At 41.6% G+C, this 25,550-nt stretch overlaps 1 protein-coding gene and 1 long non-coding RNA gene across 5 annotated transcripts in view, besides 2 other annotated features; one reads left to right on the top strand and one right to left on the bottom strand.

The window, feature by feature from the left end:
* EYS (eyes shut homolog) overlaps nt 1–25,550 on the top strand; it is a 1,987,247-nt gene that overhangs the window by 1,674,178 nt on the left and 287,519 nt on the right. The window lies entirely within an intron of this gene.
* Nucleotides 1–25,550, bottom strand: part of LOC107986608 (uncharacterized) — a 94,049-nt gene that overhangs the window by 11,505 nt on the left and 56,994 nt on the right. For 2 of the 3 annotated variants that reach the window (XR_001744190.1, XR_001744188.1), the window contains one exon: nt 11,482–11,662. This is a non-coding gene — a long non-coding RNA (uncharacterized LOC107986608). Of the gene's footprint in view, nt 1–10,098; nt 11,663–25,550 lie in introns of those variants that run through there. The other variant, XR_007059629.1, reaches the window with a different exon arrangement.
* Nucleotides 20,519–20,813: a silencer, noted in NCBI's record as "tiled region #3621; HepG2 Repressive DNase matched - State 12:CtcfO, and K562 Repressive non-DNase unmatched - State 13:Ctcf". NCBI's record gives its function as "represses a minimal TATA promoter and a strong SV40 promoter by Sharpr-MPRA in HepG2 and K562 cells {active_cell/tissue: HepG2 | K562}" and the evidence as "EXISTENCE:reporter gene assay evidence [ECO:0000049][PMID:27701403]".
* Nucleotides 23,541–23,676: a silencer, noted in NCBI's record as "fragment chr6:64719266-64719401 (GRCh37/hg19 assembly coordinates)". NCBI's record gives its function as "represses an EF-1alpha promoter that drives an FKBP-Casp9 reporter gene in an ReSE screen in K562 erythroleukemia cells {active_cell/tissue: K562}" and the evidence as "EXISTENCE:reporter gene assay evidence [ECO:0000049][PMID:32094911]".

Here is a 25,550-nt window from a genome sequence, read left to right as displayed (position 1 = left end):
CTTCTGTTACAATGTTTGGTCTTAGCCCCTCTTCCTGACAAAAGAGCTTCTAAGACTCTTGAAGTCTCCTCAAGAGAGGAGAGAGTGGCTGGGGAGTGAGTTAATCACCACTGGCCAATGATTTACTCAATTATGCAATGGAACCTCCATAAAAATGTTAAAACAATGCAGTTCAGAGAATGTCTGGATTTGTGAACAAATTGAGATGCTAGAAGGGTGGCATGGCTAGAAAGGACATGAAAGTTCTGTATAGCCTCATGCCTCTCTTCTATTTGGCTATTCTTGAGTAGTATCCTTTATAATCCAGTATTAGTAAGAAAAGTGTTTTCCTGAGTTCAGTGAGCTGAATAGCAAATTATTAAAATCAAGGGTGGGCTGTGTGTACCCCCAATTTGTAGCCAAGCCAGACAAATGTATAGGTAATCTAGAGACCCACTACTTACTTCAGATTGACATCTGAAGCAAGGATTAGTCTTGTGGGCCTGAGCCCTTAACCCGTAGGGTCTGTGCTAACTCCAGATAGTGTCAGAACTGAGTTAAATTGTAGGACGCTCAGTTTGTGTCCACAGACACGTGGTATAGAAAACCCACACATTTGGTGTCAGAAATGTTGTAAATATAGAAAAAGTTTTTCCCTTTAATGGCCAATAAGCACACAAAGAAGTGCTCAAAATCATTTGTCATTAGGGAAAAGCAAATCAAAACCATGTAAGATACTGTGTCCGGAATTGGTGGGTTCTTGGTCTCACTGACTTCAAGAATGAAGCCGTGGACCCTCGCGGTGAGTGTTACAGCTCTTAAGGTGGTGCGTCGGGAGTTTATTCCTTCTGATGTTCGGATGTGTTCAGAGTTTCTTCCTTCTGGTGGGTTCGTGGTCTCGCCGCCTCAGGAGTGAAGCTGCGGACCTTTGCAGTGAGTGTTACAGCTCTTAAGGTGGCACGTCTGGAGTTGTTCATTCCTCCCGGTGAGTTCGTGGTCTCGCTGGCTTCAGGGGTGAAGCTGCAGACCTTCGTGGTGAGTGTTAAAGCTCATAAAGGCAGTGTGGACCCAAAGAGAGAGCAGCAGCAAGATTCATTGCAAAGAGTAAAAGAACAAAGCTTCCACAGTGTGGAAGGGGACCAGAGCAGGTTGCCACTGCTGGCTCAGGCAGCCTGCTTTTATTCCCTTATCTGGCCCCACCCACATCCTGCTGATTGGTAGAGCCGAGTGGTCTGTTTTGACAGGGTGCTGATTGGTGCGTTTACAATCCCTGAGCTAGACACAGATGTTCTCCACGTCCCCACCAGATTAGCTAGACACACGTGTCACCACACAAAAGTTCTCCAAGTCCCCACCAGAGTAGCTAGATAACAGAGTGTCAATTGGAGCATTCACAAACCCTGAGCTAGACACAGGGTGCTGATTGGTGCATTTACAATCCCTTAGCTAGACATAAAGGTTCTGCAAGTCCCCACCAGACTCAGGAGCCCCGCTGGCTTCACCCAGTGGATCTTGCACCGGGCCGCAGGTGGAGCTGCCTGCCAGTCCTGCGCCCTGCGCCTGCACTCCTCAGCCCTTGGGTGGTCGATGGGACTGCGTGCCATGAAGCAGGGGGCGATCCTGATCAGGGAGGCTTGGGCCGCACAGGAGCCCATGGAGGGTGGGGGTTGGGGGTGTGGCTCAGGCATGGCAGGCTGCATGTCCGCAGTCCTGCCCCATGGGAAGGCAGCTAAGGCCTGGCGAGAAATTGAGCACAGCAGCTGCTGGCCCAGGTGCTAAGCCCCTCACTGCCCAGGGCCGGTGGTGCCGGCCAGCCCCTCTGAGTGCGGAGCTGGCCAAGCCCATGCCCACCCAGAACTCATGCTGGCCTGCAAACAGCATGTGCAGCCCCGGTTCCCGCCCACACTTCTCCCTCCACACCTCCCCGCAAGCTGAGGGAGCCAGCTCCGGCCTTGGCCAGACCAGAAAGGGGCTCCCACAGTGCATCAGCGGGCTGAAGCTCCCCATGTGCTGCCAAAGTGGGAGCCCAGGCAGAGGAGGTGCCAAGAGCAAGTGAGGGCACACGCCGTCACCTCTCAATCCCCCCTCTAAACAGGACACCCCAACTGCTGTTGGGAATTTGGCCGATGACCGCTCTAGCTACTTCCTGCTGGATAGGGACGATGAAGGGGCCCTGCAGTTGTAGTGTCCTCCAGAGGGGAGGTCTCTAGGCCAGGGAAAGTGCCAGCGCGTTGGTCCAGGGGTCCTCAGTAGAAGTTGTTAGTTGAACTGATTTGGGGTTCCATTTGTAAGACCATCTGTAGCTTGATGGCCTCAATTCTAGAGGAAACAAATTTGACAAGCAGGTTAAAAATACAGGGTCCAAAGGCAAGTAATAACAAGATGGCTGACACGGGACCTAGAAAAGGGAGAAGCCATGTTGCCCAACTCCAGAGGTTGGTATAAGAATTTGAAAGGCATCTGATTTCAGAAGGCTTTTCCTGTAAACGCCGGGCGGCATCTCGTACTATCCCCGACTGGTTAGTGTAAAAACAACACTCTTTCCCTAAGAAGGTGCAGAGTCCTTCTTTCTCAGCAGTGAGGAGGTCTAGTCCTCGGCAGTTTTGGAGAGTTACTGCTGCCAAAGAGTCTATTTGGGATTGTAAAGTAAGAATAGATTTCGTTATTTCTTGCAAACTGTCTGAGAGGCAGATATGGGTCGACATTCCACTTAAGAAAAATATGCCTTGGCTGGGTAGACAGAAATTTACCCTGGCTTTTAAAGGAGTAGGGTACACTGTTTTTTCTTTACTACTTCCATCTCTCTCCTTCTCCCTTCGACTTCTTCTTTGTCTCTTCCTCTCTTTTTAACTCTCTTTTTGACTTTCTGTGTCTGTCCCTCCTTCTGACTCCTTTTCTTTGTCTCTGTTTCTGACTCCCTCTTTGACTTTCTGTCTCTCTGTCTCTTCCTCTCTCTGTCTCTTTCTCTTTGTCTTTCCCTCTTTCCTTCTTGCTGGTCTTTCCCTACCTCTGCCAGCTGCTTATGCTGCTGTTCTCCCCTCTTCTTCCCATTTTGATTGCTTTGGCAGTGTAAGAGTGCCACCTCCTTGTGTTTTTGCATTGTGTGCAATAACTCTATAATTTCCTTGTGGTATTTAATGGGGGCTCCCCCAGAGGTTAGGAACTCCCTCTCTTTCCATATTGCAGCATGGGCATGTAGGATTAGATAAGCATACTTGCTATCTGTATACACATTTATTCTTTTTCCCTTTCCCAGTTCTAAGGCTCGGGTAAGTGCCACTAGTTCTGCTAACTGGGCACTGGTCCCTGGGGGAAGAGGCTTACTTTCAAGTATGGTGACATCACTAACTATGGCATAACCTGCCCTTCGTATCCCATTCTCCACAAATGAACTTCCATCAGTATATAGGTTAAAGTCAAGATTAGTTAAGGGGACTTCTAAGAGATCATCTTGGGCAGCATAAGTCTGGACTATAATTTGTTGGCAGTCATGCTCGATTGGTTCCCCATCCTCTGGGAGAAAAGTGTCAGGGTTGAGGGCCACACACGTGCATTTTTGAAACACCGGTCCCTCAAGGAGGAGTACCTGGTATCTAAGTAGGCGGTTGTCCGATAGCCATAAACTTCCTTTGGCACCTAGTATGCCATTTACATCATAAGTAGTCCAGACAGTGAGATCTTTTCCTTGTATTATTTTAATAGCCTCTGACACTAAGATGGCCACTGCTGCAACTACCCTTAAACAGTGAGGCCAGCCTTTTGCTACTACATCAATTTCCTTACTTAGGTATGCCACTGGCTGTGGGGTTGTCCCACAAGTCTGAGTAAGGACTCAAAGAGCTATCCCGGCTCTCTCTGTGACATATAAAGAGAAGTTGTGTCCTGTGGGAAGGCTTAAACCTGGAGCTTGTACTAGGGCCTGCCTTAAGGTTTTGAAGGCTGTTTCTGCCTCTGGTTCCCATTCTACTAGATGAGTATTTGCCCTCTGTGTTTCCTTGATTAGTGTATAGAGGGGCCTGGCTATCTCGCTGTATCTGGGGATCCATAGTCCACAAAAGCCAGTAATTCCAAGGAACCCCCTCAACTGTTTTAATGTCTTAGGGTGAGGATAAGCCAGTATAGGCTGTATTCGTTCCTTGCTGAGGGCCCTGGTCCCTCTGGCTAAGATTAGGCCTAGATATTTGACATGCTGTAGGCAAAGCTGGGCCTTTGACCTAGACACCTTGTACCCTTGATTAGCTAGAAAGTTCAAAAGATCTAGAGTAGCCTGCTGGCACGAGGCTTCTGAACTGGTAGCCAGAAGTAAATCATCCACATATTGAAGGACCAGAGTGCCTGGAATTGAGAAGTGGCCTAGATCTTGGGCCAGTGCCTGACCAAACAGATGAGGGCTATCCCTAAACCCTTGGGGCAAGACCATCCACGTAAGTTGGGACATGTGGTCTGTGGGATCCTCAAAAGCAAAGAGGAACTGGGACTCAGAGTGCAGGGGAATATAGAAGAAGGCATCCTTGAGGTCCAGAACTATGAACCATTCTGCTTCCTCTGGTATTTGAGAGAGCAGGATATAGGGGTTGGGTACAACTGGATATAGAGGAATTACTGCCTCATTAATGAGTCTAAGATCTTGCACTACTCTCCAATGACCGTTTGGTTTTTGTACTCCTAGAATTGGGGTGTTGCAGGGACTGCTGCATTTCCTTACTAAGCCTTGAGCTTTCAAATGTTTAACAATATTCTGTAATCCTTTATGAGCTTCAGGCCTTAAAGGATATTGCCTTTGATAAGGAAAAGTGGTGGGATCTTTTAACCTGATTTGGACTGGGCAGGCATTTTTTGCCCTTCCAAATTGTCCTTCCAATGCCCAGACTTCAGGATTGATTCCCTCCTCAAGTAGGGGACAACAAATGGGTAACTTGTTCCCCATATTCATGTAGACAATAGCTCCAGCCTTGGCTAATATATCCCTCCCTAATAAGGGTGTGGGACTTTCAGGCATAACAAGAAAGGCATGTGAAAAGAGCAAAGTCTCCCAATTACAACTGAGAAGGTGGGAGAAATACCTGGTTACAGGCTGTCCCAGGATTCCTCAGATGGTAATGGACCTTGAGGACAGTCGTCCAGGACAGGAGATTAACAATGAGAAGGCTGTGCCAGTGTCCAGGAGGAAGTCAATTTCCTGGCCCTCAATAGTTAAACATACCCGGGGCTCAGTGAGGGTGATGACATGAGCTGGCGCTTGCCCCAGGCACCCTCAATCCTGTTGTTGGATCATCTGTTTGGGGGCTTCTGTCCCAGGGAAACTTTGTCCTCTGGGGCAGTGCACCTTCCAGTGATTTCCTCGGCACAGTGGACATAGATGGGGGGCAGCTTGTTTCTCATTGGACAATCTTTTTTAAAGTGTCCTAGTAAACCACACTGATAACAAGCCCTACCAGGTGATTGGCCTGCTCCATTTTCTGTCTTCTCTGAACCACCAAGGTTTGTTTGTCTGAGGGCCATGACTAAGGCTGCGGACTTTCTCTGATCTTGCTTTTCCTTTCGGGCCTGTTCCTCTTGGTCCCTATTATAGAACACCGAGGTTGCCAGGTTTAGTAATGCCTCTAGATTTTGTTCAGGGCCCAGGGCTTGCTTTTGGAGTTTCCTCCTGATATCTGTGGCTGATTGGGTAATAAACTTATCCTTTAGAATCAATTGACCTTGGAGTGATTCAGGTGACAGGGGAGTATATTTTCTTAAGGCCTCTCATAGCCACTTGAGGAAGGCAGAAGGATTTTCTTCCTTTCCCTGAGTTATGGTGGACATTATTGAATAATTCATGGTCTTTTTTCTAATTCTCCTTAGTCCTTCTAGAACACAGGTCAACAGATGTTTATGACTCCAGTCCCCATGATCTGAGTCAAGGTCCCAGTGGGGATCCATACTGGGGATGGCTTGCTGACTGGTAGGGAATTTGTCCCTTTCTTCGGCTGTCATTCTATCATTTACTCGACTAAGATACCAGGTGTCTCCAAACTCTCAGGCTGCAGCTAAAGCCGCATTCTTTTCATTAAAGGCCAGCGTTTGATCTAACGGTAGCGTGACATCTCTCTAAGTGAGGTCAAAGGTTTGCCCTAGACCCTGTAGGACATCTATGTACCTATCAGGATCATCTGAAAACTTCCCCAGGTCTGCCTTGATCTGTTTTAAATCAGAGAGGGAGAAGGGGACATGTACCCGGGTTGGGCCAAATTCCCCTCCCTCTACAGCTTGAAGGGGACATAACCGATAGCCTAGGGGGTTTTGTGGTACTTTGGAGATTTCTTTGCTTATTTCCTTCTGGGCAGGGGAGATTAGAGGAGGATTATCATTAATAGGAAGGGGAGCTATAGGAGGATAGGATATGGGGGTAAGCTGAGAGGTCCTCCTGTGGAATGTAAATTGCAAGCTTTGCATATTGTGTATTCTCCCTCAATGAAAAGAAAGCTTGGACATAAGGTATTTCACTCCATTTGCCTTCCCACTTACAGAAAAGGTCAAGCTGCAGGATAGTATTGTAATTTGTGCTTCCCTCAGGTGGCCATTTTTCCCATCAGAGAGAGAATATTGGGGCCAAGTCATAGTGCAGAAACAAAATGAGCTGCCTCTTTTTCAGGGTTTATAGGTCAAATTGGTCCCAATGGCTTAGGATGCATTTCAAGGGTGATCCTGTTGATGCCTGAGTGTTTCCCATCTGAAAGACAAAACCGCCCATGGTTTTGGTTTGTTTTGTTTCTTCCCCCTGCCCAAGAACCCACAACGGACCCTGGACCCTGCTGATCGGAATAGTTGCACTCACCAACACAGCAGCAGAAACAACCCCTGCCCAAGAACCCATAACAGTCCCTGGACCCTGCTGATCGGAATAGTTGTGCTCACTGATGCAGCAGCAGAAACAACCCCTGCCCCAGAACCCACAACGGTCCCTGACCCTACTGATCAGAATAGTTGCGCTCACTGACGCAGCAGCAGAAACACTAGTTTTCCTCCCGGACCACATGGAGGACCAAGGAAGGTTGGATTTAGTAGTCCCTACTGAGGCATTCTAAAAAACCTGCACCCTTGCCTGTCCCCTAGACCACAAGGAGGACTGACCAAGAAAAATCGGATTTATTGGCCCTTACTGATGCATTCTCGAAAACCTGTTAGAGTCCTAAGCATTCTCCTGTTAGTACTGGGACTTTACCCCTTTCCTATAAAGATGTTATGCCCCAAAAATGAAGTGGAGGGCCATACCCTGAGGGAGGGAAGGGATCTCCAGGGTTGGAAGAGTGACACCTTTTGTCTTCACTTATATGAATAGGAAGGATACACTTTCTGAGGCTCCCCATATCCTAGCTTCGGGAACAGCTTTTGTTGGGCCTGTTAGTCTGAGGAGGGATCCTAAATTCCAGGTAGTCCCCACTATGACGGAGCTTTGGGCAAAAATTATGTCTTTCTGATTGGTGAGCCCAGGTGCCTAAAGAAGGTAACAGAGTCCTGGAGTTTATACTAGAAATCATTCTCATAGGAGAAACTAGAAAAGCACCAGAGACAGGTAGCAATTTTTAGAAGGAGGACTAACCTCAGAGAAGAGAGGCGAGAGGAAGTTTGTCTGGTAGGCATTAGGACCCAAGGGGCAAGGGTCAGGATAGATAGGATAGATGGGTGAGTCTTGCTTGGGCGACATGCATTTGAGAGTTCCGCTCATGGCTGCAGGGTCAACCAACTTGTTGTTGGGACCTCGGAGCTGCACAGCTTTCCTCTCTGTCGATCCTCAGCTCAGCCCAGAAGTACAGGAAAAGTGGAAGCTGGTTCTAGGCAAACCAACGGTCCCAACTCCAAAGAGTTGGGGGTTGTTAGAGAGCCCTTTCCCAGAAAGCCTGGCACCCGTGTCTTTAGTCCGGCAGCCGCACTAGTTGCTTTTAACTGGCTGACAGGTGCCCGGTTATTTAGCCCCCGAATTCTAAGGAAAGATAGGACAGAATAGCAAGTGAAAGGCGTCTGATGGTACTCACTGCTTGGTGATAGGCAATTGTCTCACTGCTCGGCAATAGGCGATGGTCTCACCACATGGTGATTGTCATACCACTGGGCGATAGGCGAAAGTCCCTTCGTGGTCGCCAAAATGTGTCCAGAATTGGTGGGTTCTTGGTCTCACTGACTTCAAGAATGAAGCCGCAGACCCTCACGGTGAGTGTTACAACTCTTAGGGTGGCGCGTCGGGAGTTTGTTCCTTCTGATGTTCGGATGTGTTTGGAGTTTCTTCCTTCTGGTGGGTTCGTGATCTCGCTGGCGCAGGAGTGAAGCTGCGGACCTTTGCAGTGAGTGTTACAGCTCTTAAGGTGGCACGTCTGGAGTTGTTCATTCCTCCCGGTGAGTTCGTGGTCTCGCTAGCTTCAGGGGTGAAGCTGCAGACCTTCACAGTGAGTGTTACAGCTCATAAAGGCAGTGTGGACCCAAAGAGTGAGGAGCAGCAAGATTCATTGCAAAGAGTGAAAGAACAAAGCTTCCACAGTGTGGAAGGGGACCCAAACAGGTTGCCACTGCTTGCTCGGGAAGCCTGCTTTTATTCCCTTATCTGGCCCCACCCACATCCTGCTGATTGGTAGAGCCGAGTGGTCTGTTTTGACAGGGTGCTGATTGGTGCGTTTACAATCCCTGAGCTAGACACAGATGTTCTCCAAGTCCCCACCAGATTAGCTAGATACAGAGTGTCACCACACAAATGTTCTCCAAGTCCCCACCAGAGTAGCTAGATACATAGTGTCAATTGGTGCATTCACAAACCCTGAGCTAGACACAGGGTGCTGATTGGTGCATTTACAATCCCTTAGCTAGACATAAAGGTTCTGCAAGTCCCCACCAGACTCAGGAGCCCCGCTGGCTTCACCCAGTGGATCCCGCACCAGGGCTGCAGGTGGAGCTGCCTGCCAGTCCTGCGCCCTGCGCCTGCACTCCTCAGCCCTTGGGTGGTCGATGGGACTGGGCGCTGTGGAGCAGGGGGTGGCACTCATCGGGGAGGCTCGGGCAGCACAGGAGCCCACAGAGAGAGGGGGAGGCTCAGGCATGGCGAGCTGCATGTCCTGAGCCCTGCCCCGCGGGAAGGCAGCCAAGGCCCGGTGAGAAATTGAGCACAGCAGCTGCTGGCCCAGGTGCTAAGCCCCTCGGTGCCCTGGGCTGGCGGGGCCGGCCGGCCACTACGAGTGCGGGGCCCACTGAGCCCACGCCCACCTGGAACTCGCGCTGGCCCGCAAACACCGCGGCACAGCCCCAGTTCCCACCCGCGCCTGTCCCTCCACACCTCCTCGCAAGCTGAGGGAGCCGGCTCTGGCCTTGGCCTGCCCAGAAAGGGGCTCCCACAGTGCAGCGGCAGGCTGAAGGCCTCCCCAAGTGCCGCCAAAGTGGGAGCCCAGGCAAAGGAGGTGCCGAGAGCTAGTGAGGGCGCACACTGTTGCCTCTCAATACCACTTCACATCTACTACAATGGCCATAATTTTTATTTAAAAAAAGAAAAATAACAAGTGTTGGTGAAGCTGTGGAAAAATCGAGACCATGCCATTTTACACCGTACAATGTAAAGTGTAAAATATAAGTGTACATTTTACCATGTACAGCGTAAAATGGTACACTACAAATGGTAGAAACAGTTTAATGGTTGCTCTAAAAGTTAAACACGTATTTACTATATGACCCCCACAATTCCACCCCAGATGCATATGCAAAAGAATTGAAAACAGGGATTCAAACAGATACTTATATGTCAATGTTCATAGCAGAATTGTTCACAACCCAAATGGAGAAGTATCGATCAACAGAGAAATAGATTTTAAAATAAGCTATATGCATACAATGAAATGCTATTCAGACCTAAGAAGAAATGAAGTTCTGATACTTGCTACAGCATGAATTAATCTTGAAAACTTTATGCTAAGTGCAATAATCCAGACACAAAAAGACAAGTATTATATGATTCCACTTATGTGAAATATACTATATGGAATGGGCAAATTCATAGAGACAGAAATTAATCAAAGGTTACCAGTGGCTAGAGAAGGGCAGAATGGGGAATTATTGCATAATGGTTTGTTGAAGTCGAGTAAAAAATTAAAGACAAATCTCTAAATATAAAACGTTTTATTTGAGAAGCAAGAATTTCATTTCAGGGCATACACACAGACAGGGTGGTCTTTGCTATGTCTAAAGAACAAAGAGAAGGTTGGCGGTTTTATAAAAAGAAGAAATGTTATGTATTGTTCTTCAGGAAAATTCATTGGCACTAGTTTTGGGGAGCTGGTAAGCTCTAAATAAGTGATGGGTGTGGGTAAAACTATTCTTAGAGTCACAGCAGCCTGTTTCAGTAGATATTGAATAAAACTGGTTTCAGGTTGGAGCAGGCAGTTTCAGCAGCCACGCTTGCAGAGAATAACATTCTTGAAGAAATGTTATGTGCCCTGGGTGCTTTTTTCTTTCTGGCTCTGAACTCTGTTTTAGCTGGGTATGACAAGAATGACCAAATTCTTTCAGCTTTCACAGATTAGTTTCTTTTTGTTGTGATGAAATAATTTAGAAATAGCCAATAATGATATTTGCATAACATTATAAAAGTACTTAATGCCAATGAATTGTACACAATAATTGTGAAAATGGTAAAGTTTATGTTATATATTTTAGCGCACTAAAAACAGATTAGAAAAAAAATATCTCCCATGAATAGATTCTGGATACCTGAGTGCTGAGAACATTTTAGACAGAAAATATTATATTGTGTGTCCACCTCTTATTTATTCTCAGGTTTTGATGAAAAGAATGAGAAAAACTTTTAAAATTATAAAGTTATCCAAACTCCTTTATATATGTATTGCCAGTGTGAATGGAAACATATTCAATTTAATGGAGAATGGAGGGTAATTTGGACAACATCTGATAAAAATTACAAGCACAAATGTGCTTATTTGGCAATTCTGTTTGTAGGACTTAAACTCACAGATAAAGATATTCATTGATCAGTGTCTGTAACAGAAAAAAAGGAAATAATCTAAATATCCATAGAGAGGGGAATGGTTACATAAAATAGAAAACTTGCATACAACCTACAATGAAATACTTTGCTATCTTAAAAAGAAATAATGGGGAAACGCTTTGTATCATGATAGAAAACAATCTCCAAAATGAATTGTAACAAAAGCACAATGCAAAGAATATGTATAGTATGTTTCTGTGCATGTATATAATTTCTTACAGAGGCCTAGAGAACTTTTAGGTAACTAAATAAGAGATTACTAACAGTTTCCTCCAGGGAGGGAACTTGGGTGAAACAGGGATGGGGTGGGAGGGAGACTTGGACTACAACTTCTTGAGTATCTTTTGAATCTTGGACCATGTGAATGTAGTGAATGTATTCCCTACAAATAGAAAAATGTTACAACATATGATAATCTTTTCAATTCATCCATTGTAGAAAAACCATGTCCCATTGTTCCTCCTACTTATAACAAGACTTACCATTTATTTAGCTGATGAACAATCACTCAGCTTTTACTTTGGAACATTTTTCTCAAGATGTGCATTGTTGACAATTTAGGGCTGTATCCTTCTTTATTATTCCAGGCAGTCCTGTGCATTGTAGGAAGTTTGCCAGCATCCCTGACCTCTGCCTACTAGATGTCAGTAGCATCCTCATTCCCTGTTGTGATAAAGAAACATGTATCTAGGCATTGTCAAATGTACCCCAGGAAGCAAACTCCCCCCAGTCTAGCACTACTGCCTTGAGATAGATCATGTGTGGCGTTGAATCCAGTACCTGGCTTAAGAAAATGCTCAATAAAGGGTAATTGTGATGGAAAGAAAAAGAATGGCTTTTGCAAAAACAGCAGCAAAGCTACTAAGCAATAAAGAAAAGGCTTTTTTTTTTTCCCTTGAAAACTATCACTGCAAGGAATTTTAGTCTTTGGATGAGAAATAGACAAAGTGAGAACCATTTCTCAATTAAGAAAATGCTTTTGGGTAGAAAAGATTTTTAGGAAGACTATAGTAATAATGATAAGGTTTCCTCATTTGTGGACATTTCTTGGTTCTTCCCCTAATATTTTCACAATATAATGTAGAGGATCTTCTGTAGTCATCATAATTCTTGGATTCCCAGGAAATCCTTTAATACAAAAATAGGGTTTCTCCATCTGTCTATGGCACCACTATTGAGATCTTTCTTTGGTATTAATAATACATTATTTTAACATTTATAATATTCTCCCCAAGATTAGGACATTATCTAGCATATCAGATGATTCAAAGTTAACATAACCCACCATGGAAAAGTTTGCTGCATTGACTGTCTATCAATAAAATACAGTTGGTAAAACTCTGGAATATCAATATTTCTTTTTATCATAAGTAGTAAATATAATCCATCCCCAAAAATCACCCAAAATAATCAAGTGGGGATGTTTTAGAGTCTAAAATATCACATGTGAAAGGAATGGAAATTGTTGGATAATTTTTACCATTTCTTTTCCTGTTACTACCACATCTATTTGCACCCCATGAAGCCCTTGGTATCAGGAATAATAGTGAACATAATCTACCTTATACTTTACAGAAGTCTGTTACAATGTTTTCGTGACTTGGTTTGGTGTTTTTTTAGTTAAGTAAACAAATGTGTATGTTTATGTAATTTGGATGAAAACATTTCATCAACATTTTTAAAGGAAAAGGTTTTATGATATATTACATTTATACATATTTATAGGTACATGTAAAATTTTGTACATGCATTGTATGTGTAAAAATCAAGTCAGGATACTTAGGGTATTCACCACCATAGTATTTGTCATTTCTGTGTGTTGGCTGCATTTCAGTTCCTCTAGTCTAGCTATTTTGAAAAATGCAATTCATTGTTGTTAACTATAGTCACCCTACTCTGCTATCAAACAAGAATTCATTCCTTCTACCTAACTGTTATTACTCTATTTGAATAGCAATAAATGTAGATACTAGAGTTTAGATGTTTGTAATAGAGTTATGTTGATTTTATCAGTGTTTCTTGTCACTGATTACTCTGCGAAAATGTTAAGAGGAGATACACTATTGCTTTCTGATCTATTTCATAGCCTCTGCACAGCTGAGGTATTTGTTAAACCCAAAGCATTCAGATTATCTGTATATCTTAATAGAGTGTCCACTTATATACACTTATATATGTAAGTATATATATATATATATACTTATATATACATATATATATATATACTTATATATACACATTCTAATCTCATTCATCTCCAAATTCAACTATTGAACACTGTTAGTATTCAAACCTTTGCTTCTTATTTTTAACATTACTTCATTTAAAAAAGAAAGAACGAGGCTGAGCGTGGTGGCTCATGCCTGTAATCCCAGCACTTTGAGAGGCCGAGGCGGGCAGATCACAAGGTCAGGAGTTCGAGACCAGCCTGGCCAATATGGTGAAACCCCGTCTCCACTAAAAATGCAAAAATTAGCTGGGCGTGGTGGCCTGTGCCTGTAGTCCCAGCTACTCGAGAGGCTAAGGCAGGAGAATCACTTGAATCCAGGAGACAGGGGTTGTAGCAAGCTGAGATCACGCCACTCAACTCCAGCCTGGGAGACAGAGCGAGACTCCGTTTAAAAAAATAAAAAGGAAAGAAAGAAAATATCTTGCCCTTTATTTGTTTCTTGTAGCTACTATAAGAAATGGACACAAACTATGTGGCCTAAAACAACAGAAATTTATTATCTCACAGCTCTGGAAACCAGAAGTCTGAAATCAAGATGTTATGTAGGCAGGCTGCACTCTCTCCAGAAGTCCTGAGGGAAAATCCATTACTGCCTCTTCCAGCGTCTGCCAACTGAGGGCATTCCTTGGTGTTCCTTGGCTTGTGGTTGCATCATTCCAGGTTTTGTTGCTATCTTCACATTACCGTTTCCCCTGAGTCTCCAATCATTCACTCTCTCTGATTCTCTCTTATAAGAACATTTGTGAGCCGGGCATGGTGGCTCACACCTGTAATCCCAGCACTTTGGGAGGCCAAGGTGGGTGGATCACTTGAGGTCAGGAGTTCAAGACCAGTCTGGCCAACATGGCGAAACCCCGTCTCTACTAAAAATATAAAAATTAACCAGGCATGATGGCATGCGCCTGTAGTCCCAGCTACTCAGGAGGCTGAGGCAGGAGACTTGCTTGAACCCAGGAAGCAGAGGTTGCAGTGAGCTGAGACTGTGCCATTGCACTCCAGCCTGGGCAACAGAGTGAGACTCTGTCTCGACAAAAAAAAAAAAAAAAAAAAAAAAAAAAAACACTTGTGATGACATTCAGGACACTCCCAAATAACCCAGGATGATCTCTTCATCTCAAAAAACTTTAACTTAATCGCATTTGCAAAGACCCTTTTCCAAATAAAGTAACATTTACAGATTCTAAGAATTAGGATATAGAAATACCTTTGAGGGGGCCATTTTTCTACCATATGCTAGACATCAGCATATGAAAACCAAAAATGTTACCAAAATCAAATTTCAATTGAGACACCACAAAAAATTTTTTGCTATTCGGCTGTATAATTGCAAAACCTATGAGTATTAGTTTATTCTTACTCAATGTGCAAGTCAAAACATATTCTTAATGCAGATATTTAAAGAGTTTAGATTTGATGAGAAAGCAAGAAGAAACATCCAAACAACAACAACAACAAAAAACCCCTGAATATATAAAAGAGATCACTTTCCTGAGGTATGCTATTATGAATCCAATCTGAGGTTTATACTATATCTAGGTCACAACTATTTCTTTATCTACTTTCCAAAGGAAACTGTGTTAATTTACGTTTTCAAATGAAATATCCCATGGTAGCATATTTTTCAAATATATCTTGACTCCTGAATTCAGCTTTAATTTACATATTTATATATACATATACGTATATATATGTGTATGTGTGTGTGTGTATAAGTGTGTATTCCACGTCTTTTCTCAGGACTAAGTAGGAATAAACTTGGCACCAAGGTTTACACATAAGACATGGTTATAAATAAAATGGAGGTAGAAATGCTACTGCATGGATCTCTGATTTCCCAACATATTATTTCTTATACAAAATAATCGAACATTGGGCAATATGAGAGAATATAAGGGTTTAGAAGGTCAATGAAAATGTATAAGTTCCTTTATGTATCAGGAAACTCAGAGAGGTTTAAGTAAATTGCCCAGAGGTTTAAGTAAATTGCCCGAACATAGACAGCTAGTTAGGTTGAGAGTTGGGTCTATCATTACGAGCATATTGACTGTTCTCACCACTTCATATTAATGAGCAGATGTGCTAAAGGATGAACCTTTCACACAGGGAGAGCAGATAGAATTGTCACTGGGCTGTGGGTAGAGCAGACAGCAGGTAAAGAAAAATGGTTTGTCTAAGAAACAGTTCCACTGGCCTGTTTGGTCCCACATCACCCAAGTACACTGGCTTCAGGTCAGCATATGTGCATTGTGTGCATTATGCATCAGGTACTGTACTTACAGCTGAGGCTACCAGGGAGGAACCTGAGGAACAGAAGGCCAGAGAGAAAAACAGACACAAAACCAACAACTATGGAATAATATGACATTACCTGATTTTTATGAGACCTCACCAGACCATGGAAACAAATGAAATCTCGTATTGTAGTAATGCAGCTTCTTGAACATCTTCAGTACCCACAGATCTCCCACCCCCAGCATGCAGAGAGTCCCACAATTGTAGATCACAGATGTTCCCAAATAAATCCACTCTCACAGCCCTGTCAGGCACTGTAATTCTCTTCTAGGTACCCTGCCAGGAACCTGCCACCAACACTACAGGGTGTGGTAGTATGCCTCCCTCTCCTTCCTGTTACTTGCTATTAACAAGGTCCAGAAAGGAGTGTTTGTGGGGTCTCAACAGATTTTGCTTTCAGCTTTCCCTCCTTGCCTTTGCACTCATATAAGAGTTCAGTCCTAGTGATGGATATGACAGCAGCCTAGGAAGGTTCAAGCAGAGGACAGGAATTAGAGGAAAAAAGACCAAGGACATGCGGAGTGCAATTGATGGAAAGATTATGATTAAAGGAGACAGGAAGAAGGGAGTCCTCCATCTTAAGAGAACAGAGTGAGTGGTGGAGACAGGGATACCTTCAGAAGTAAAGGAATTGAAAAGCTTTCCTGTCTCAGTTAAGCTAAATAATTAGTCATTTGCTGCTAATCAGAGATAGATTAGCTAACAAGAGACGAATAAGAAATGTACAATACCCTCATTAGAAATCAAAAAGAGGCCAAGCATGGTGGCTCACACCTGTAATCCCAGCACTGTGGGAGGCCAACATAGGCAGATAGCTTGAGCACAGTAGTTTGAGGCCAGCCTTGGCAGCATAATGAGACCCTGTCCCTACAGAAAATACAAAAATTAGCCAGGCATAGTGATGTATGCCTGTAGTCCCAGCTACTTGGGAGTCTGAGGCAGGAGGATTGCATGTGATCAGGAGATTGAGGCTACAGTGAGCTGCACTCCAGCCTGGGTGACGGAGCAAGACCCTGTCTCAAAAAAAAAAAAAAAAAATCAAAAAGGTATGACACAGCAGCCAATAGCATAGATTCTGGAGCTACAACGTACAGGTTTATAACCCAGCACTGTGATTTATGAACTTTGTGACCTTGAGCAAATTACTTAACCCCTAGGTGCCTCAATTTCCTCACCTATAAATGGGAAGAATGTTTCCATTTATCTCAGAGGGTGGCTGCTGTGTAATATTTTAAAGTACTTGAGATAATGCCTGGTCTATAATAAATGCTATATAAATGTTTATTAAATAAAGTAAATAATTCCATTATACAGTATTTGATTATAAGAAGCTATTGCTAATAATAAAAACATACCCCTGTGAAGGTCTCTGTCACTTTGAAACATGTTATTCCAGTCTGTCCTGATTGGTTGCATTGCTTTTAATAGGAGGCAGGACAGAGCAGCCCAAAGGTACCAGGTGGTGAAATGGAATTTGCTAAAGAAAAGGAGCAAAAAAGCCAAAAATGGGAGAAAACATAGTTCCTTTGTTTGTTTCTTTGTTTCCTAGAAGCAACAAAGCTCAGCACTCAGAATTCCTTACTTTCCTTTTTGCCTCATAAGCCTGGAAACCAAGAAGTCCCAGCTTGTGTTCTATGTGTAAACTCATCCTGGCATTACTTGCTGTCTCTATTTGAATGCAGCCTTGAAGCTGGTGCACAAACCTGTCAGCCCTCATTAACACTAACCTATGCTGCTGATGCAGGTGCCCTGGCTATGCTTCCTCTGGTTCCAGTGAAAACTGACCTCTCAGAGAATGACAATGTCTTTCCTTCTTACCCTCTGTGAGGACCTTCAGATTACAACAATTTTATTCACCTTCACCTCACCATCACCTATCACCTACATTTCTTATATAATAGGCATTCGATCATTTGTCTGTTGAATCAATAGATCTATTTTCATTTGTATTTTAAATTATTTCCCTGAAAACTAATTTCTTTTATCCTTTATTGTGTTACCAATTTTTTCTTTTTTTCTTCTATTTTTTGCTATTTTACCTTATATTTAAAGCTACCTTAAATCATTATTGGATTGAGACTTTATAAATAAAATTAACACAGATTATAGATTTTTAGAGTTTATTAAATTTGCCTGTGGTCTTGAGCCTATGAGCCTTGCAATATTTAGTTTGCTATTTATATAAAGCAGTACAAAACATTCAAACCATTGTCTCTAACCATCAGTGATTTTTCTCTTTATATGAGATGTGGATTTTGGTTCTACTCAAATTTTATGTATCATCTTCTGGAAAAATTCCAAAATGTTTAGTGTAATTGTTTTTTATCAGAAACAACTCCAGGAATTATTATCTCTATTGTAAGAGTGCAAAACAAAGCAATTTTTTTCATCATCATGGTTACTTATTCAATTAAATTTTTCTCAATCTTTAAATTGAAAGTGCTCTTGTGGAAGCTATTTATAAGAAATTGACTTAAAGAAGGGCTAGTAACTCTTCTTTCAATCATTAAGCCTAGATTACAGATATTCATCAGTTCTACCTATTTTTATATTGGTTGAATTTCTAAAAGTTTACATGTCTTGGTTATCTCCAAATTGAAAGTTTGCCTAGGGTAAGGTTTTAACTGTTCTTCTCTCCCTATAGGAAATTTTAAAGATGGGGGAGTCATGTTTGACAAAGGGTATAGAAAGGACAGTTAGAAGGGGAAGTGGTGTACCTAAAACCTCAGAAACCAAAAAAAAAAAAAATAAAAAAAGACTAAATAAGCCAAGCCAAAGGATATTTAGACTGTGTGCTAGCTGGTAGAGAAACCAGAAACCAAAGAGGTATTGATCCAAGACTCACCCAATGGATCACACTGTAGCCTTTTTACACTTAGAGTGATAAGTATATTTACAACTTTGGCTCAGAGAGTGCTTCAGAAATTTAAATGTTTTACATCTCTAGTCATCTACTCTCTCTTCATATTTTTAATACAAATGTGAAACTAGGATTATTACTGACTTCACTGGATTAAACATAATACAGTATAAATATCTTAACATTAAAATATTTTCTGTTTCTTCATAAATCTCAGTAAAATGCATTGTCAGGAAAATTATGTACTGCAAATAGTACCAACCATTTGGAAACTGAAGTATTATTAGAAAACAAAAAAACTACATACTTAATGTTAAGGCAATTTTATAAAAAGAATCCCTCACTGTAACATATCTTTGTAAAAAAAAAAATGGCAGGGACACACATGGCCTTTTCATTTACCACCTAATGTGAGTGAATCTCCACCTACCAATATCATCTGAATTACTTTTTGTTTAAATTTTGGTAAAGTGATCTGCTTGTTACCTAATTGAGTTTTTCCATACGGTCTTTTAACTTGAAAAAAAAACTTCTTTCTTTCAAAATATGTGTGTGTGTGAGTTCAAATGTTTGAGATGAAAGGATCAGAAATCAATGTTTTAAGTCCTGAGTTTTAATTGATTACTCAGAGGAGTGAACACCCCTAAAACTACTAAAAACCAAATAAATTGAGTACATAATAAGTACTGGAAGTGGAGAATAAAATTAAATACTATCTCGTATTTGTAAACTGAACATGTGTAGGTTTTAGGGTAATATTCTTAGAACTTACATTCACCATCAGAGTGAATTAGCCCAATCTAGAACTGTGAAATAATAGATTCCAAAAAGAAAAAGAATTTTTTTTTTACTGAAATCTCAAACGAAATGGCAACAGTGAAGTTGAGCTTTTCAGCTTTCCTAATGCCCTTGTTCTAAGTGAATACTTAAATGCTACTAAGAAATGTTCAAGAAACTCAGTGGCATACTGGTTTTTAAGAATCATCTCTCAGGGAAAAAAAAAGGGTGGGGTGGTGATTTGTAGCATTTGCCACTTTCCCTGGAATAAATACTTTTACCATGGCCTATATTTCAAGCTAACAATATGAATTCACTGAATGTGGCATTTGGGAAAGATATGCAAAATTAGCTCTCACGAGCTAGTGCCAGGCTCCTCCAGCATCCCATTGACACTCATCATCAACATGTTCAGAGAGGTTAGAAATGGATGTCAGGTCAAAAAAAACAGGAAGCTTTCTGGATGCAAATTTATATTTGTGTAATTGTAATTGTCATTATATGAATGCTTTTACCGGCTAAAGAAAACAAGAGAATTCTGGGCATTTACACATTTAGAGGCGCTACCAGGAGACCATGAAATCTAGAGAATATGCTGCGAGTCCCATTGCACGTGAATTGGATAGCGTAGTCGGAAAGAAAATCACAGTTCTTGGAAAATCTCCAGTATCTCGTGATGGCTGGTTGTATGTTCCCTTGACGACTGCTCTGTTTAATCAAGGGAGTAAGTGAAGTTTCTGCTTCAGTGGTCCTCAGGAATCATCACAGATCCTTTTTTAATATCAGTACATCACAGGAAAATGGCTTGGTTTTCTCTGTAATTTATTATAAAGTGTATTTGGGCTGTTTTGTCAGAGAGAAGTCTAACTAATATAATCTAAAACTAGTGACCGCCACATGACTATCATCCAGAGGCAGGAAGTGCTCAGAAAAATCACTTATTAGAGGTCATGGAGCGCTTTTTATACAAAGCTCTTTGTACTGTCAGGCTGGCCAACTCTGTGACGATCTAAGCAAAAACAGGATGCTTTTTAAAAACAGTGTGTTTATATTGCTTTTGCTAGACAAAAGTCCTGACACTGTGGCTTTTATGCGTGATCCTTTTTTTATACTGTTTAACATTTATTTTGTGCTGAGTTGCACAGACAATGTCAAGAAATATGGCTGTGTTGATAGGGCTGTATGAAAACCATCCCACTTTTAGGAAACAGCATTTCCTTAAATTTGCTTACCCAGCCATGACAATCACACTGGATAAGTGAAGTGGTAAGGAAAGCTGTATGTCTCTGGACAGTTTCACCCATACTGCCTAATGTCTAATTTTTGAAATATATTTTCCATGTTTCCCTGTTACAAACAGGGAGGTAAAACAATAATGCTATCAATTAGATCTTAAGTTAGTCTTTGTAGGGATCAGATTCCTTTCAGTGCCTCCATCTCTGCCATGTACCTTTACTGCCATCTGCTGATACTGAGTCTCTGGGCTCTGAGTCTCCCATCCCAGCTATTCTCATGTAGAGCTGTCACTAGTCAGCTAAAACTTCTGGCTGAGCATGGAGATCATAGTTGCTAACAACTGAACTTACCCTCTTTCTATCTTAAATGTAGCCTAAGAAGATTCTTTTAAATAAAAGTTCTGAGTTAATGCTTAATTCATATGCTACTATTCACTTCAGAGCAATAGACTTACATTTATTCAGTATACATTAAGGCAAACTATTATTGGTCAGAAATTCAAGTTATTAATCTGGAAATAATTAAAATCTGGAAGATAGACATTTTTGCATTCATTTTTAACATTTAACTAAGAAAATGAAAGGAAAGAAAGGAAAGGAGGGGAGGGGGTGAGGGGACAAGAGGAGAGGAGAGGAGAGGAGAGGAGAGGAGAGGAGAGGAGAGGAAAAACTTATTAGCAATGTTAATGCATGCCCAAAATCTAAAATAAACAAGCCAGTGTTATTGTTGGGTAATTGCCAAGCCTAAAGACAAGAGAAAAGAACATTTATGTTTTGCACCTGTGAAAGCATTCAGTATCATCATCAATTTTGCAGTATTCCCTAGAAGCAGTTGGTGCTGTTCAGTTTTCTTACTGTTACATCATGGCTTCATGCTGCAATTATACATGAACTAGGTTTCACACACCTTCAGCCCAGCAATGAGATACTGCTTTAAAGCATTTAATTTCATTATGGTTTGATGCCAATAACTCATATAACCACCAGATTTGACAAATAAAACATAGGTACCTTAAAAAGAAAAAAAAATCCATACGTTCTATTTCTCTCTGGAAAAAAAAAAAACAAACTACTTTACTTATGTGCTTTTGAAATATACCACTGGAAAAAAAAATATGAGACAGATGCATTCAAATGCCTATAGCACAAAACAAACCTGAGATAGAAAAGCCAAAGAAATTAGTCCTTCCAAATTTAAAGACTGCAAAATCATGAAGGCACTTCCAAATGGCTTGGTTAACTTTTTTTTCATCCTACCTCTCACAAATTAAAGACAATTTTCTATGTACATGTCCCTTCAAAGGCAAGAACTTAGTTTGATCTTTCATTTTTGTGTTTTCTCATAATAAAAAAAGAAAATGGGGGATTTCGGGTCAAGATGACTCTGTAACTTCACACTTTTATGTGCTAGCAGTGATAGAAAAAATAAAGGAAGAAAACTGAAAACATGAAGGCAAGTTCAAAAACAAGACAAACATATCTTTAGACAAGAAATAGACAAATATGCAAAGCAGCAAAGAAGGTAAGAGTACATACTTGCTAAGATATAAATCTAGAAATAGAAAAGCTTATCTCCTGTAAGGTAAAAGGAACTAAAACTATTTGCTCAAAAAGATTTGTGAAAGATCTGATATAGATATAGGTTTATAAAGATAAATAAAATATATAAGGGAATATAAATATATTCATATATATATACTCAGAAAAAGAGAAAGGCTGCCATCTGGAATTCTGACTTTTAGCAAGCTGCCAGCCCAGGAAGAGAACAGAATGCAATCAAAGTATCATGACCTGAATTATGCCAAGCAGTCTGTCAGCTCTGTGAATGGACCTGTGAATATTTCCAGTATCATTGTAGGACAGAACTACCAAATACCTTTTAGCGAAGATTCCGGTTTCAGTGTCAAAAGATCAGGTACGTTTCTCATTCAGCAGGTAGGGTTGGGCACAGCAGAAGAACACAGGACATGAAGAATGGGAGTACACAAAAAGAGAGAAAAAGAAACATACCTCCCATTCAAAATGGGCCTGCACAGTACAATATCAGAACCCATAAAGATACTGGAAAAGGAACCAAGAAAACCAACAATGGAACAGGAATCATTCTAGATAAGACAATTTTTATGAAAGGGCCTGAAAAAACTCTAAAGTATTTTTAAAACACTAGAAAGCATAAATGAAGGAATAATTTTACTATTTAAAAAGAGAAATTACAGGCCACAGCCCTGTCCCCCTTCTCTCCACACCACCACCCCCCCCCCCAACCAAACACACACACAGCCAATGCCACCAGTGCAAATGCACACATGGAGGCTGGAAGCCCTGCACCTGCCAACACCCTGCCCCTGCCACACCACCACCACTGTCAGAGCAGGAGCACCGCATCCCCAGTCTCGCCAGTACTCTGCCACGGTGCAGGCATGTGCAACTGAGCACAGATCCTGCTGCTGCCACCCCGACGCAGTGCTTTGGCCAGCTCCCCTTCACCGGAGCGTTCTGGCCAGCGGACTGGAAATATCTCAGCCCTGCCAGCACAGCAGGTTCATAACCTCAAGGGGCCAGAGAGAAAAAGCCAGGAGTCTGGTACCAGCCCCACCCCCCAGAGTTAGAGCACACAGCCCAGGAGTGCTGAGCTGAGCACTGGCCCCCTAAAACCTTCCAGAAATGAAGCCAGTTAACTGAACCCACTTTGTACCACAATCAAACCCCCAAGGAAATCAAAGAAGATAAAAGCAAAAACAAACAAACAAACCAAAAACACATCCAAAGGATAGCAACTTCAAAGACTGAAAGAATATCAACCCATATAGATGAGAAAGAACAAGCGCAAGAACTCTGGCAACTCAAAAAACCAGAGTGCCTTTTTACCTCCAAAAACTGAACTGGTTTTCCAGCAATGGTACTTAATCAGGCCTAAATGGCTGAAATGACAAAATTGAATTCAGAATACGGATAGGAACAAAGATCATCAAGATTCAGAACAAAGTCAAAAAATCTAAAGAATCTAAGGAGTACAATAAAAAGATACAGGAGATGAAAGATGAAATGGTCATTTTAAGAAAGAACCAAGCTGGCCGGGAGAAGTGGCTCGCGCTTGTAATCCCAGCACTTTCGGAGGCCGAGGTGGGCAGATCACGAGGTCAAGAGATTGAGACCATCCTGGCTAACCCGGTGAAACCCCATCTCTACTGAAAATACAAAAAAATTAGCCTTGCGTGGTGGTGGGTGCCTGTAGTCCCAACTACTCGGGAGGCTGAGGCAGGAGAATGGCATGAACCTGGGGGGCGGAGCTTGCAGTGAGCCGAGATCACGCCACTGCACTCCAGCCTGGGTGACAGAGTGAGACTCCGTCTCCAAAAAAAAAAAAAAATCGAGAATTTCCTAACACAAATTAACAGCAGAATTGACCAAGCGGAGGAAAGAATCTCAGAGCTCGAAGACCAGTTCTTCAAAATAACTCAGTCAGACAAAAATAAAGAAAAATGAATAAAAAATGAATAAATGAATAAACCTCCAAGAAATGAGATTAGGTAAAGACCAAATCTACAACTCATTGGCATCCCTGAAAGAGCAGGAGAGAAAGCAAGCAACATGGAAAACATTTCAGGGTATCATTCATGAAAATTTCCTCAACCTCACTAGAGAGGCCAACATTCAAATTCAGGAAATGCAGAGAACACCTGTTAGATACTATACAAGATGACCATGCTCAAAACACATAGTCGTCAGATTCTCCAAGGTTGAAATACATTAAAAGTGTGTTAAAGGCAGCTAGAGAGAAGGGGCAGGTCACCTACAAAGGGAACCCCATCAGGCTAACAGCAGACCTTTCAGCAGAAACCCTAAAAGCAAGAAGAGATTGGGGGCCTATATTCACCATTCTTAAAGAAAATAACTTCCAACCATGAATTTCACACTCAGTTAAACTAAGTTTAAAAGCAAAGAAGAAATAAGATCCTTTTCAGACAAGCAAATGCTAAGAGAATTCATTACCACCAGACATGCATTGCAAGAAATCCTTAAGGAAGTGCTAAATATGGAAAGGAAAGACTACTACTAGCCACTACAAAAACACAATTAAGCACATAGACCATTGACACCATAAAGCAACCACACAATCAAGTCTGCATGATAATCAACTAACAACATGATGACAGGATCAAATCTGCACATGTCAAAATTAATCTTGAATGTAAACAGGCTAAATGCCTCAATTAAAGGGCATACAGTAGCAAGTTGGATAAAGAAACAAGATTCAAATATTCAAGAGAACCACCTCATATGCAAGGACACCCATAAGCTTAAAGTCAAGAGAGAGGGAAAAATCTACTAAGCAAACAGAAAATGGAAAACAGCAGGGGTAGCTATTCTAATTTCAGACAAAACAGACTTCAAGCCAATAATGATCAAAAAAGATAAATAAACTTATTACATAATGGTAAAGGGTTCAATTCGAAAAAAAGACCTAATCATTCTAAATATATATGCACCTATCACAGGACCCAGATTCATCAAGCAAGTTCTTAGAGACCTATGAAGAATTTTAGATAACCATACAACAATAGTGGGAGATTTAAACACCCCACTGAGAGTATTAGACAGATCACTGAAGCAGAAAACTGACAAAGATATTCAGGACCTGAATTTGACACTTGACCAAATGGACCTAACAGATATCTCCACTCAAAAACAACAGAATATGCATTCTTCTCATCTGTGTGTTGTGCCTGCTCTAAAATAAATGACAAAATTGGCCATAAAACAATCCTCAGCAAATTTAAACAACCAAAACCATACCAACCGTACTATTAGACCACAGTGCAATAAAAATAGAAATCAATGCTAAGAAAAATGATGAAAATCATACAATCACATGGAAATTAAACAACCTGATCCTGAATGACTTTTGGGTAAACAATGAAATTAAGGCAGAAATCAATAAATTCTTTGAAAATAATATGAATAAAGATACAACATACAAGAATTCCTGGGGCACAGCTAAAGCAGTGATAAGAGGGAAAGTTATAGTGCTAAATGCCCATATCAAAAAGTTAGATCTCAAATTAACAACTTAACACCACATCTAGAGGAACTGGAGAAATAAGAGCAAACCAACCACAAAGCTAGCAGAAGACAAGAAATAATCAAAATCAGAAC

Source organism: Homo sapiens, chromosome 6, assembly GCF_000001405.40.
Source record: "Homo sapiens chromosome 6, GRCh38.p14 Primary Assembly".
Classification (NCBI taxonomy): Eukaryota; Metazoa; Chordata; class Mammalia; order Primates; family Hominidae; genus Homo; species Homo sapiens.
This window is presented reverse-complemented; position numbering and strand designations above follow the sequence as displayed.